Source organism: Homo sapiens, chromosome 14 (assembly GCF_000001405.40).
Source record: "Homo sapiens chromosome 14, GRCh38.p14 Primary Assembly".
NCBI classification, from domain to species: Eukaryota; Metazoa; Chordata; class Mammalia; order Primates; family Hominidae; genus Homo; species Homo sapiens.
The window spans coordinates 73,567,235-73,582,006 of record NC_000014.9 but is presented as its reverse complement, the minus strand read 5'-3'; the positions used below and the strand labels follow the sequence as shown (position 1 = coordinate 73,582,006).

The 14,772-nt window shown below is 47.1% G+C and overlaps 2 protein-coding genes and 1 pseudogene across 5 annotated transcripts in view, besides 2 other annotated features; 2 read left to right on the top strand and 1 right to left on the bottom strand.

Annotated features, from left to right (window-relative positions):
* Positions 1-14,772, top strand: part of HEATR4 (HEAT repeat containing 4) — a 155,331-nt gene that overhangs the window by 51,808 nt on the left and 88,751 nt on the right. The gene's annotated exons all lie outside the window — the stretch shown is intronic.
* On the bottom strand, positions 6,349-14,387 carry ACOT2 (acyl-CoA thioesterase 2). 4 transcript variants are annotated; one of them, NR_046028.1, is made up of 4 exons: positions 13,878-14,387; positions 12,611-12,729; positions 8,417-8,619; positions 6,349-7,099 (listed from the first exon to the last, which is right to left on the bottom strand). NR_046028.1 is itself a non-coding variant. In NM_001364177.1 (3 exons), the coding sequence occupies exons 1-3, from the start codon at positions 12,660-12,662 to the stop codon at positions 6,494-6,496; spliced, it is 861 nt and encodes a 286-aa protein (NP_001351106.1). In that variant the 5' UTR covers positions 12,663-12,948; the 3' UTR covers positions 6,349-6,493. The 4 variants fall into 4 exon arrangements, 3 of the variants coding, with proteins under 3 accessions (NP_001351106.1, NP_006812.3, NP_001351107.1); NM_001364177.1 differs by lacking the exon at positions 13,878-14,387 and having other exon boundaries at positions 12,611-12,948; NM_006821.6 differs by lacking the exon at positions 13,878-14,387 and having other exon boundaries at positions 6,352-7,099; positions 12,124-12,794.
* NT5CP1 (5',3'-nucleotidase, cytosolic pseudogene 1) lies at positions 10,355-11,010 on the top strand (annotated as a pseudogene).
* Positions 12,014-12,183: an enhancer, noted in NCBI's record as "experimental_36532 CRE fragment used in MPRA reporter constructs". NCBI's record gives its function as "activates a minimal promoter by MPRAs in K562 erythroleukemia cells, with activity observed for both the introgressed and non-introgressed 14:74036613 variant alleles {active_cell/tissue: K562}" and the evidence as "EXISTENCE:reporter gene assay evidence [ECO:0000049][PMID:34662402]".
* Positions 13,378-14,577: an enhancer, noted in NCBI's record as "BRD4-independent group 4 enhancer chr14:74034134-74035333 (GRCh37/hg19 assembly coordinates)". NCBI's record gives its function as "activates an origin of replication core promoter dependent on BRD2, P300/CBP, MED14 and CDK7 cofactors, and independent of BRD4, by STARR-seq in HCT116 cells {active_cell/tissue: HCT116}" and the evidence as "EXISTENCE:reporter gene assay evidence [ECO:0000049][PMID:35650434]".

Sequence of the window (14,772 nt, the reverse complement as noted above, 5' to 3'; positions counted from 1 at the left end):
TGGAGTGGAGGGCAATATTAGCTTCAGCATGTGCAAAGAAGGTGGCTTGGGGGTTCTGAGTGGTTGGGGTGCTACTGTGGGAGGGGGGTCACCTTCAGAGAAGGGGCAACAGGAGGTGGGAAGCCCTGGTAAAGATTCAATTCCCCAAGTGGCCCAGATGCTCTAAAAATGGCTTGCCTCAGGGACTGTCCACCACCAAAAAAATCTCAGCACTCTCTCTTGGTATTTAATCAGGTAAAGCCCCAGGATCTGAAGCCCCAGGTTCAGATCCTGCCTTGCCATTGGCTTGCAGGATCTATGACCTTGGCAAATGGCTTTGCCCCTTGCCTCAATTTCTTTTTCTGCAGAATGTGACAGGAATGTTCTCTACTTCCTTGGGGGTGTTTAAAACATTAAATAATGATTAGCTCTAATAACTAATACATTGAAGCCTGAGGCCCAGGGCTCGATGCATGATTGTTAATTCCTCCCAACAAGATGGGATTGTTGTTATACCCATTGTATTGAGGCCTGGAGCCCCTGAGATACACACACACACACATACACAGACACACACACACACATCACGAGGCATTTGGGAAGTGACTGTCATGAGGGTGGAACCCTCATTAATGGGATTGGTGCCCTTATAAAACAGGTTGAAGAGAGCTGCCTTGCTCTTTCCACTAGGTAGGACACAAGATGGTGCCATCTATGAGGAACAGGCCCTCACCAGACACCAGATCTGTGGGTGCCTTGATCTTGGATTTCCTAGCTTCCAAAACTGTGAGCAATACATTTCTGTTGTTTATAAATTACCCAGTCTAACACATCTTGTTACAGCAGTTGAAGAGACTAAGACAAGTGTCCTCACCACAAGAAAAAAAAAAAAAAAGTGTGAGGTGATGGATAGGTTAATTACCTGGAATTACCTGGTTAATTACCTGTGAATCCTTTCACAGTGTGTTAATATACACATATCAAAACACTATGTTGGGTTGGCACAGTGGTTCATGCCTATAATCCCAGCACTTTGAGAGGCCAAGGTGGGAGTGTAACTAAGCAGGTTAGCAGCTTAGCCTCAAACCTTAAGACTTTTTTTTCCTTTCCCCCTTTCTCCTCCCCCAGTGAGTCTCAAGATAGAACTCTGAGACCATCTGCATATGAGTTTCCTTTCATCTTGAAATACACCCTCAGAATGTGCTGAACCTCCACGCCCTTTCTTTTCCCATTCTGTGCTTCTGTGCCTTATGCACATGTATTTACCTAGATGCTTGTTAAGTACACACCATTACCTGGTCATATATTTCCTTCAGCTTCAGGGACTGGATCTGGATATGGACCAGATATCTCTAGCCACCATGATGGCACTGGCTCCTTCACCAGATGAAACAATACTTCAAAACAAGCCAGTGGAGCAGGTCACGCCACCCGACAACTCCTAGTTCCGCTGCCTCTTCTGCACTCCAAACTCTCTCTTCAAAAGCTCCTGGATTCCCTCCACAAATTGAAGAGTGGAAATATTTGCAAATAACTACACTCACTTCTCCCCTTGCTAGCATGGATAATAAAACTCACTCTCTTTATCACACTTCACTCTTATTATATTGGCTTCTTTTTACAAGTGGCGAGCAGCTGCACCGTTCTACTGATTACAGGAGGATCACTTGAGGCCAGGAGTTCGAGACCAGCCTGGGCAACATAAGACGCTGTTTCTACAAAAAATTAAAAATTAGCTGGGCATGGTGGCAAATACCTATAGTCTCAGCTACTCAGGAGGCTGAAGTGGGAGGATGGGTTGAGCCCCCAGGAGTTTGAGGCTGCAATGAGCTATGATAGCGCCACTGCACTCCAGCCTGGCCAGAGCCTGTCTCTTAAAACAAAAACAACCCCCTGCCCCACCCATCACTTTGTATACTTTTTATTTTTTGAGACAGGGTCTCACTCTGTTGTCCAGGCTGGAGTGCAGTAACACAATCTTGGCTCACTGCAACCTCCGACTCCCAGGTTCAAGCGATTCACCCACCTCAGCCTCCCAAGTAGCTGGGACTACAGGTGCACACCACCATGTGGGCCTGGCAAATTATTTTATTTTTTGGTAGAGATGGAGTTTTACCATGTTGGCCAGGCTGCTCTCGAACTTCTGACTTCAAATGATCCACCCACCTTGGCCTCCCGAAGTGACGGAATTACAGGCATGAGCTACCGTGCCTGGTCCATGTTATACACTTTAAATATGCTTTTAAAAACCATGCCCATTGGACGTGGGTATTGTTTACGTAGTGGTTCCCTTTAAAATTATTCATGATGGCCAGGTGCAGTGGTGTATGCCTGTAATCCCAGCACTTTGGGAGAGGCCAAGGTGGGAAGATTGCCTGAGCCCAGGTGTTTAAGACCAGCATGGGCAACATAGGGAGACCCCATCTCTACTTTTTTTTTTTTTTTTTTTTTTTTGAGACGGCTTTTGCCCTTTTGCCCAGGCTGGAGTGCAGTGGCACGATCTCGGCTCACCACAACCTCCACCTTCCGGTTTCAAGTGATTCTCCTGCCACAGCCTCCCGAGTAGCTGGGATTACAGGCGCCCAGCACCACGCTCGGCTAATGTTTGTATTTTCAGTAGAGATGGGGTTTCACCATGTTGACCTGGCTGGTCTCAGACTCCCGACCTCATGATCCCCTCGCCTTGGCCTCTCAAAGAGCTGGGATTACAGGCATGAGCCACCACACCCAGCGTTTTTTTTTTTTTTTTTTTTTTTTTTTTTAATTTTTTTGAGACGGAATTTCGTTCTTGTTGCCTAGGCTGGAGTACAATGGCGTGATCTCGGCTCACTGCAACCTCTGCCTCCTGGGTTAAAGCAATTGTCCTGCCTCAGCCTCCCAAGTAGCTGGGATTACAGGCGCATGCCACCATACCTGGCTGTTTTTTTTTTTTTTTTCTTTTTTTTGAGATGGAGGCTGGCTGTCGCCTAGGCTAGAGTGCAGTGATGTGATTTCAGCTCACTGCAAGCTCCACATCCCGGGTTCACGCCATTCTCCTGCCTCAGCCTCCCGAGTAGCTGGGACTACAGGCACCCGCCATCACGCCCTGCTAATTTTTTGTATTTTTAGTAGAGATGGGGTTTCACTGTGTTAGCCAGGATGGTCTTGATCTCCCGACCTCGTGACTGCCCACCATAACCTCCCAAAGTGCTGGGATTACAGGCATGAGCCACCGCGCCTGGCCAATTTTTGTATTTAGTAGAGACAGGGTTTCATCACATTGGTCAGGCTGGTCTCGAACTCCTGACCTCAGGTGATCTGCCCACCTTGGCCTCCCAAAGTGCTGGGATTACAGAGGCATAAGCCACCGCACCCGGCCTCTATTTTAAAATCAATCAATCAATCATTATGGAGCATGTTAGTTTAATGAACTTTTCGGTCTGTTTCACCACGTTCACAGCTTGCATGGGTTGAAAATAAAAAGAAAAATGCCTGTCAAATAACTAATAAAGACTAACTAGGCTGGGCCCGGTTGCTCATGCCTATAATCCAATCAGTGTGGTACGCCAAGATGGACAGACTGCTTGAGCCCAGGAGTTTGAGACCAGCCTGGGCAACATGGTGAAACCTTGTCTCTGCAAAAATACAAAAATTAGCTGGGCATGGTGGCATGTGTCTGCAGTCCCAGCTACCCAGGGGGCTGAGGTGGGAGGATCACTTGAGTCTTGGAGATCAAGACTGTAGTGAGCCGAGATCATGTTACTGCCACTGCACTCTAGCCTGGGTGAGAGATCCTGTCTCAAAAAAAAAAAAAAAAGATGAAATGTCAAGAGGCTGATAGGTGATCTGAACCCCTGTGATGCTTTTTAAAATTTTTCATGTTATTAAAACATTTTTTTGCCAGGGGCGGTGGCTCACGCCTATAATCCTGGCACTTTGGGAGGCCAAGCTGGGTGGATCACCTGAGGTCAGGAGTTCGAGACCAGTCTGACCAACATGGCAAAACTCCATCTCTACTAAAAATACAAAATTTAGCTGGGCATGGTGGCGGGTGCCTGTATTCCCAGCTACTTGGGAGGCTGAGGCAGGAGAATCACGTGAACCCAGGAGGCGGAGGTTGCAGTGAGCCAAGATCAAGCCATTGTACTCCAGCCTGGGCAACAGAGTGAGACTCTGTCTCAAAAAAAAAAAATTGTTTTTATAAGATCATGTCCCACTATGTTACCCAGGCTGACTTGAACTCCTGGGCTCAAGCAATCCTACTGCCTCAGCCTCCCAAGTAGCTGGGATTACAGGCATGTGCTTCTACACCCACCAGCTCATCTGTAGTGCTTTTAATATTCACCAGCCCGAATTTCTAAGAATGGGGAATAGGGTCCCTAAGGTCTCAAAAGGGCTTCAGCAGACTCAAGTTTGGGATCTAGCATCTACTAAAACAAGTTTTAACTATTGCACTTTTCTAAGAGAGTCATATACTATATAATTGCAAGGGAAAAGATAAAACAATATGACTTGAAATTTTGTGTTGTGGCCTGGCATCTTGGGGTGGGACTTGGCCAGGCCAGCTATGAGCAACTGTCCCAGATTGCATCATCTCTAAGAGTTTTCAGAGCCTCAGGTCATGTGTACTCTAAATGGGGCTCCATGCCCAGCACTGGCATTCTTGTGGAAGTTTGGAGACATGGCACCAGCTGCATTCCTGGGTTGCAGAGTAACACAGGAGGTAGCTTCATCTCAGGGTATCATCTCTCTACTGTAGATCTGGTTATATTCTACTGCTACAAAACCATGAATTCCTTTAGAAAAAAGGTGCCGGAAGCTGGCAGCGGTGGCTCACACCTGTAATTTCAGCACTTTGGGAGGCTGAGGCAGGAGGATTGTTTGAGCTCGGTAATTCAAGGCTAGTCTGGGCAACACTGGGAGACCCCATCTGTACAAAAAATTAAAAATTAGCCAGGCATGGTGGTGTGTGCCTGTGTGGTCTCAGCTGCTAGGGAGGCCGAGGTGGGAGAATAGCTTAAACCTACGAGGTTGAGGCTGCAGTGAGCCGTGACTGTGCCACTGCACTCCAGCCTGGGCAACAGAGTGAGACCCTCTCTCAAAAAAAAAAAAAAAAGAAAAGAAAAGAATAATAAATTAAGGTTTTTTTTCCTTTAAATACAACTAAGGTTTAAAAAAAAAACAAGTTTATTGTGGAACTATTTATATCAAGTGATATAAATATTGTCTTTTTTTTTTTTTTTTTTTTTTTTTTTGAGACTGTGTCTTGCTGTTGCCCAGGCTGGAGCACAGTAGCACGATCTCAGCTCACTGCAACCTCTGCCTCCAGGGCTCAAGTGGTTCTCCCACCTCAGCCTCCCCAGTAGCTGGGACTACAGGCATGCACCACCAATGTCTGGCTATTTTTTTGTAGAGACGGGGTTTTCCCATGTTGCCCAGGCTTGTCTTGAACTCCTGAGCTCAAGCAATCCACTGGCCTTGGTCTCCCAAAGTGCTGGCATTACAAGTGTGAGTCACCAACGCCAAGCCTAAATTGTTATTTAACTTCACATTTGTCATTGTTAAAATCACTTATGTAATTCATCTCAATAATGTTTTATCAGCTTTTGAAACAAATCCTAAAAGTCCATATGTATAAACAGGAATGTAAAATTTATTTGCACTAGGAGAATCCTTATTAATCCAAGGAGAAGATATCAAAGAACTAAATATGTATTGGTTTTGAAAATTTTTAGTAGTTTTATATCTAACTAGTAATCAGTTTATAGGCAAGATGTTAACTTCCATTCTTAAAGGAGGAACTCAAATCTGATACACTTTTTATATTATGTGCTTTTCTTCCACAGTAGGTAATCATTTAATTAATTAATTAATTAATTTTTGAGGCAGAGTCTTGCTGTTGCCCAGGCTGGAGGGTAGTAGCACAATCTTTTCTCACTGCAACCTCTTCTCACTGCAACCTCCGCCTCCCAGGTTCAAGCAATTCTCCTGCCTCAGCCTCCCAAGTAGCTGTGACTACAGGTGCCTGCCACCACGCCTGGCTAATTTTTTGTATTTTTAGGAGAGATGGGGTTTCATCACGTTGGCCAGACTGGTCTCAAACTCCTGACCTCAAGTGATCCGCCCACCTCAGCCTCCCAAAGTGCTGGCATTACAGGTGTGAGCCACCACGCCTGGCTCACTTATACTCATTCAGCAAATAATTATTGAACTCCATTTACGTACCAGACACTGTTAATTGATGTTACTCACTTTTCCTTTCAGAACTAAAGCCTTATCAGTTGTGTGTTGAGATAGGAAGAGGAGACTTTTTCCACTTCTTGTGTTTCCTACAGTTACTCCCTTCCCAAACTGATAAAGTATACAGTTTATAAAAATCTTAAAAACTCATTCTTACTGGTAAATTCATTTTAATAATGAGGGGAAAAAACTTTAGTTATTAAAAACAAAAGAATGAATACACATACACACACTAAATGTGGCAGATGTTTCCAGGAGAGATTAGCAACAGAGAGGCCACATGATCAAATAAAATTTACACTTTTGATGGGATTGTCCCCTCGTGGCCACCCAAGTGTTTGTGGAAGAAAGTCTGGAGTTGTTTCCAAGCATCCACCTGAGCCATGGCATGAGCCCTGGGCTCCCCTCCCCAGATAATAGGACTGCCCACCAAGGCATGCAGGGAAGCCCGACACAGGGGGAAGTAAGGAGGCTCAATATAGTGCCCTGTCTCTGGGTAACAGATGATCTGGGGCTTTCTCCTCCCATGGGCCTGCAAGCGTTTACAGGCCTCATTAGCATAGAACTCACTCTTCCAGTTGTGGTCATCCTGACCTACCAGGAACAGGAAGGTGCTCTCTGCCCTTTCCACAGGAATGAAGCTCTTCTGGTCAGGTCCTTCCAAAGGGCTGTTCAGGACATCCACAATGTCTGCATAGCCATCTTTGGTCACCTTGATGCGATTTCTGTTGACGCCCACAGGGGGCAGGGTCTCGCCCTTGTAGTGTAAGGTTCCCCCAACATTGGCCACAGAGCCGTTGATGACGACAGCAGCCGTGATGCCCTTCAGGAAAGAGGCCATGGAAAGGCAGAGCTCACCCCCTTTGGAAATTCCAAGCAGCCCAACTCCTGGACCTTTTACCTGAGAAAGGGACAAAGGAAAAAGAAGAAGAATGATTCCACAAACAGTGGAATATGGTGAGTTGTGTCCACCCTGGAAGTTAGTTGAACCTGAGTCTGAATCTAGGTTCTACCATTTACCCAGATTTGCAACTTTGAGAATTTACCTCCCCTCTATCTCTTCCTTTCCACAATTTGTCCATCACCACTCTTGGTGATAACCATGTGGAAGATCTATCAATTATTCTCTGGTTTCTCAGTTCCTTAATCTCGTATCTCCCATGATCTTTTTCTGTCTCCCACCTGAGCCACCCATTCCCACTGTCATAACTAAACTGAGTCATCATCAACAAGTACATCATCTCATGGCCGGGAGTGGTGGCTGACGCCTGTAATCCCAACAGTTTGGGAGGCTGAGGCGGGTGGATCATTTGAGGTCAGGAGTTTGAGATCAGTCTGGCCAACATGGTGAAACATCTCTACTAAAAATACAAGAATTAGCCGGGCAGTAGTGGCACGTGCCTGTAGTCACAGCTACGTGGGAGGCTGAGGCAGAAGAATCAATTGAACCTGGGAGGTGGAGTTTGCAGTGAGCCGAGATCATGCCATTGCACTCCAGCCTGGGTGACACAGCAAGACTCCATCTCAAAAAAAAAAAAAAAAAAATACTGGAATTTAAAATTGCATAATAACAACTACGAATCTCTTTACTAGCAGGAAATATAGTAATATAGAATTGAATAGAAACTGTCTATAAGAGGCCAGGTGTGGTGGCTCATGCCTGTAATTCCAGCACTCTGGGAGGCCAAGGTGGGCAGATCACTTGAGGTCAGGAGTTTGAGACCAGCCTGGCCAACATGGCGAAACCCCATCTCTACTTAAAAAAAAAAAAATACAAATATTAGGCTGGGCATAGTGGCTCATGCCTGTAATCCAGCACTTGGGTAGGTCAAAGCAGGTGGATCATTTGAGGTCAGGAGTTCAAGACCAGCCTGACCAATATTGTGAAACCCCGCCTCCACTAAAAATACAAAAATTAGCCAAGCATGGTGGCAGGTGCCTGTAATCCCAACTACTCGGGAGGGTGGGGCACAAGAATCACTTGAACTTGGGAGGTGGAGGTTGCAGTGAGCCAAGATCGCACCACTGGACTCCAGCCTGGCAACAGAGTGAGACTCCATCTCAAAAAAAGAAACTGTCTATAAGAAGTGACTAAAAAAGGTAGTGTGTGTTGGGGTAGGGAATGGCTGTCATGAATGAGCTAACTTCTGTGAAAACCCAGACCATTTAAGAAGAGACCTGATACATCATAGCCCATAAATCTGAAAGAAGAACTAACCTCGGGATGACTGAGCAAGTAGTTCATGGCTTCTTCAAAGTACTCCAGATGGAGCGTCTCCATGGTCTTGGGGAGGTCTTCATAGTTATAATAAGCCAGAGCCATCACAGCAAAACCCTTCCCAGCCAGCAGACTAGCCCGATACTCCAGCAGGCCACCTCCAGTTCCGAACATGTCCACAATCCCAGGAAAGGGCCCAGGTTCTTGGGAAGAAACAAAACAAAATGCAAAACTAAGCTATTCCTGAAACAGTTGGATGGTTTAAGTTAAACATATACTTACCACACATGTGACCCAGCAATCCCACTCCTAGGTATCTACCCACGAGAAATGAAAACCTGTTCGTCCAGAAACCTCTGGCAAGTGTTTATAGTGACTTTACTCGTTGTAGCCAAAGACTGGAAACAACCCAAATGTCCTTTAACTGGTGAATGAATCCATTTAATGGTGCACCACCAAGAAACAAAAAGAAAGACTGCTACATAGAAGAGCACAAATTCCTCTCCAGTGCACTCAACAGAATGCACTTACTCAACGGAGACAGACTCAAAAGGCTACTCATTCTGAATGACTCCACTTACTGATATTTTTATCATTTACATTAAAGGTTTTGTGTTTCACACAAAATTAAATAGTAATAATGCAGGCTGGGTCCGGTGGCTCACGCCTGTAACCCCAGCACTTTGGGAGGCTGAGACGGGTGGATCACCTGAGGTCAGGAGTTCGAGACCAGCCTGGCCAACATGGTGAAACCCCATCTGTACTAAAAATACAAAAATTAGCTGGGTGTGGTGGCGGCCACCTGTAATCCCAGCTACTCGGGAGGCTGAGGGAGGAGAATCGCTTGAACCCGGGAGGTGGAGGTTGCAGTGAGCCAAGATTGTGCCACTACTCCAGCCTGGGCGAAAGAGCGAGACACTGTCTCAAAAAAAAAAAAAAAAAAAAAAAAAATGCAAACACCTTACAGGCAACACTTTTAAGACATAGTTCAGTGCTGATACCCGCAAACCATCAACGTCCCACAGACCCCTGTGCCCTTTCCTCTCTTTCCAGTATCCTGGACTTTCTGTGTATCACTCTTGGTTTTCTTCATAGTATTACCACTTAGATTATGTACCTTAATATTTTATTTTGCCTAGTTTTTGAATTGTATCTAAATGGAATGATACTGAATGTGTTCTCCTAGGGTTTGACTGTTTCACTCAACAGTGGTTTGGAGATTCATCCATGTTGATTCTTTTTTTTTCTTTTCTTTTGTATATCTTGATAGATGTTGATTCTTGTAGCTGTAGTTCAATCACTTTGACTGCTGGAAATATACCTCAATTTATTAATCTGTTCTATTGTTGATGGACATTTGGACTGTTTCCAGTTGACTTTGCTCTTTTTTTAAATTAATCCAGACTGCTCATCTGGCCTCTTATAAGGAATATGCCTCCTGGTGCACATGTACAAGTAGAATAACATATTTAACTTTGTAAGTTAAGACAAATTGTTGCCCAGAGCAGATGAATATGTTGCTCCTTCTAGCAGTGAGTTTCATTTCCTCCACATACTGGTCAGCAATTGATAATGCTAGCTTCTAAAAGTGGGCCACTTCTGAGGGTGTGAAATGTACTCTGTTGTTTTATTTTGCATTTCTTTGATTATTAATAAGGATAAGCATCATTTCATTTTTACACTGGCTGATTGCTCTTTATGTAATATAAAAGTATCCAGTAACCTCAAATTTCCATTTGACAGGAAGAGGTTTTCCTATTGTAAATGCTAATTTACATAAATCTTAACATACTGTGCGAATTCAAAGAAAAGTTGCAAAAATGAGAAACTTTTAAAGAACATTTCTGGGCCCCATACCCCTAGGATCCCGAGAAACCCCAGTGCCCCGGCAGCGATGAGCACAGCCCACGCGTGTGCTGATGGACAGGGACCGCGTGCTGGCAGCTTCCAGACGGCCTCCTGCGGGGCTTCAGCCGCCCCTTCTCAGGGAGCTGCATGTGACACTGCAGCAGCACCGCAGCTTCCTGGTCTGGAAGCAGTACCTCACCCTGCTGCCGGACCTGGTGGATAAAGTGGCCCACGGGTGTGAAGCCCAGGCTTTTCCCTAGTCTTGAAGCCCAACCCCGGAGGACCTTGCAAGAGATGAAGCACATGCAAAACACCGAGGTCTTCACACTGCACCAGCCCCTGCCAAAGTATGACCACTGTGTGGGTGAGAAGCACCGCTGGGTAGGGCAGCACCTGGAGCCCCAGCTTGTGGAGTGAATTATCCTGACAATGGACAAGACCGTGGTCTTTGGGGACTTGCTCACTGATGACAAAGATACCATTCGAGGCCAAGAGGAGAGGCCACAATAGTACCTGGTCCTGCCATGCATAGGGACGCGGCTGCTCTCCTGGAATGGTAACAGGGAGATCATAGCCAGCCAGCGGGGAGCTAGGCAGCAGGAACGAACAGGCCCTGCAGGGGGCAGCAGCTGCAGCTGGAGCAATGGTGGGCGGGCAGGCACCAAAACCTCTGCACTGTCACAGGCCCAGCCACCTGGCACCTCCTAGCTGCCATGGAAATACAGTGAGAAAACCAGTCGGAATTCTTATTTAAAAAAAAAAAAAAGTGGCTTCCTAGTCAATACATAAATAAGAACATTAAAAAATTGAAACTACCTGAATTTTTTTTTTTTTTTTTTAAGATAGAGTCACTCTTGTCCCCCAGGCTGGAGTGCAATGGCATGATCTCAGCTCACTGCAACCTCTGCCTCCCGGGTTCCAGCGATTCTCCTGCCTCAACCTCCTAAGTAGTTGGGACTACAGGCATGCACCACCACGCCTGGCTAATTTTTCTATTTTTAGTAGAGATGGGGTTTCACCATGTTGGCCAGGCTGGTCTCGAACTCCTGACCTCAGGTGATCCGCCGGCCTCGGCCTCCCAAAGCGCTAGGATTACAGGCGTTAGCCACCGCGCCCGGCCTGTTTTGTTTTTAATATAAGTGTCTTTTTCCTTTCCTTACAATGTCTTTTTTTTGAGACGGAGTCTCGCTCTGTCGCCCAGGCTGGAGTGCAGTGGCGCGATCTCAGCTCACTACAAACTCTGCCTCCCGGGTTCACACCATTCTCCTGCCTCAGCCTCCCGAGTAGCTGGGACTACAGGCGCCCGCTACTACGCCCAGCTACTGTTTTGTATTTTTAGTAGAGACGGGGTTTCACCGTGTTAGTCAGGATGGCCTCAATCTTTTGATCTCGTGATCTGCCCGCCGAGACTTCCCAAAGTGCTGGGATTACAAGCGTGAGCCACTGCGCCTGGCCCTTACAATGTCTTTTAACTGAGCACTAGGTTTGAGGGACCTCTCAGTTTTGGAGCGGCAGGGACACTTCCCCAATCAGCTTTCCATTCCATTCCTGTTTCTTTACACTAACCTCCGGAAGGTTGGAAGCTACATCCCTTCTTCGTGTGAAAAGGGCAGGGACGGAAAAAAAAAAAAAGTGTAACTCCCCTCAAAGTGCCGGGCGCGGTGGCTCACCCTGTAATCCCAGCTCTTAGGGAGGCAGAGGCGGGAAGATAGCTGGAGACCAGGAATTCGAAACCTGCCTGGGCAATATAGCCCGGGGGCGCGGCGGGGGGGCATACACATAAGCGAAAAGCGTGGGGCGGGGGAGACACACAAAGTGAAAGGCGAACGAACACGGAACAATTAGCGGAGGTGAGTCACCTGGCGGCAGGAAGAGCGTGCCTCGCACCCGGCCCACGCGCACCGGCTCGCGCCGCACCCCGGGCGGGAGGAAGTAGCGCTCGTGCCGCGTCTGGCACAGCAGCCGCCCGGGGTCGGGGTCGTGGCCATCCAGCACCTCCAGCTCCACGGCCAAGGGCGTTCGCACGTCGCGCTTCACCAGCCGCACCAAAGGTTTCTCGGGCTCCAAGGCCCAGAGCAGCCCCATGGGCTCAAGCCCCGCGAAGCTGCCGCCCAGCGCGGGCGCGCGCTCCAGGTCCAGCTCGCCAAGAGTGTCGGCGCGGTAGCGCGCGTGGGCCTGGAAAAGCGCGCCCTTCTCGTCGCGCAGGGACGCGCGCAGCGTGACCGGCTGCTCCGGGGCTAGGCCGCGCACGGCGATTCGCACCGGTTCGTCCCAGCAGCAGCGGCCCGCAGGCTCCAGGATCAGCGTCGCCGCCATCCGAGCAGGAACCCTAATGATCTGACCAACCTGCCTCAGCTGTGGAGACCCCAGGAACTGCGCCGAACTCTTCAGGCTCCATTGGTACAGCCGGGACGCTCGAAGGACAGCAGGAGATGAGGCCATTTTGAATTCAGACCTGAGAACAACTGAATGGGGGTGGGGAGAAAGAAGCTTGTTAGACATCCTCTCGGGCTGCCGTCGCAGGCTAAGCGCCCACTAGGGCAGAGCTGTCTGCTAACGTGAGCGGGGAAGGCCAGAGTCCAGCCGATCAGCCAGACCAAATATAGACACACTGGAACTTGCTTAAAGTCTCCTGTGTTGAAACCTCCACTTTATGTTGGAAAGCTACTTCCTAGGTTTGCTTTTCAGAAGCTTGCTGGCCTGCGGAATGGGCTGGACCAGGGCTGGTTCTTAAAGAACCAGGCAGCTAGCAGTCTCCAGGCTCCAAACTCCTGATGGCGAAGAGGAATGCAGAGCTGGAGTTAGTTTTGATCACTTTGTTGAATAATTCACACTCATTACTAATCTTAGGGCTTTTCTTTCAAAATCTGCACCATGGTGTTTTGCTTTTGTGTTCTCTGTATATGCCTATCCTCCACATCAATCCCACATCGAAGGGTGCTGGCTTCTTACTAGCTGTGTGACCTCTGAGCTTCATTCCTTACAAGTGTAAAAATAGCCAAATGGGGTAATAGGTAGTAATTTCTCAAACTCCTGACTTTGTAATCCGCCCGCCTCAGCCTCCCAAAATGCTAGGATTTACAGGCATGAGCCACCGCGCCCGGCTAATAGTTATTATTTTGTTTTACTGGTTTCTCAATTATTGTCCCAGTCAGGCAAGGGTTACTTTTTTTTTTTGAGAGACAGGGTCTCACTACATTGCCAGACTGGAGTACAGCGGCAGTTTACCATCACTGCACTTACAAACCTCCAACTCCTGGTGCTCAAGCCATCTTCCTGACTCAGCCTCTCAAATACCTCAAAGGACTACCGGAGCTCCCCATGCATCGCGCTTTTTTCTACTTTTTCGTAAGCTATTGGTTTCACCAGAGGTGTGGTGTTTTTTTTTTTCATCACTTAAGCTTTAGGCCCCTGCCAAGCCCTTGTACCTGATTTTATAATTTCCTACCTGTGTAATTAGAGAAAGCTATAAATGTGTAGGCTTCAAACCCACAAAACCTGTGTTTGCCTCTGCTCCTAATAAGGCTGTCCTCAAGGTAAGCCTTTTTATCTCGTTCCAAATCTCTCATGTCCCACGTCATTAATCATACAATTCCCTGTCAGTTCTAATTACCTTTGTATAACACCTCAAGTATGTTCTGTGCCTAGAACTCTCAGGAAGTAAGAAGGCAAATAATTCTGTGTCTGGAATTGGTTCCTTCTGGTGGATTCTTGGTCTCGCTGACATCAAGAATGAAGCCGCAGACCCTCGCAGTGACTGTTACAGTTCTTAATACAGTTCTGAAAAGTAGTGTGTCTGGAGTTTGTTTCCTCTGATGTTCAGATGCGTCCGGAATGTGTTCCTTCTGGTGGGTTCATGGTCTCGCTTCTCACCGACTTCAAGAGTAAAGCCACAGACCTTCAAGGTGAGTGTTACAGCTCATAAAGGCAGCAGGTCCAGAGTTGTTTTTCTTGTTCCTCTCAGTGGGTTCATGGTCTTGGCTTCAGGAGTGAAGCTGTATACCTTCACGGTGTTACAGCTCTGAAATGCAGTATGGACCCAAAGAAGGAGCAGTAGCAAGGTTTATTGTGAAGTACAAAAGAACAAAGCTTCCATCAGCCTGGAGCGGAACTCACGCAGGTTACCACTACTAGCTGGGGTGACCAGCTTTTATTCCCTTATTTGGCCCTGCTCATGTCCTGCTGATTGGTCCATTTTACAGAGCGCTGATTTTCCATTTTACAGAGTGCTGATTGGTTCGTTTTACAAAGTGCTGATTGGTTCGTTTTTACCCAGTGCTGATTGGTGCGTTTACAAACCTTTAGCTAGACACAGAGTGCTGATTGGTGCATTTACAATCCTTTAGCTAGACAAAAAAGTTCTCCAAGTCCCCACCCAACCCAGAAGCCCAGCGGTCTTCACCTCTCAATAGTAGCTAATGGTTAATACTTACAAGAACCCTATCAGTAAATTAAGGCCCAGAGAATTTAACTGATTTTCTGAAGATCACACAGCTAGAAAGTGGAAG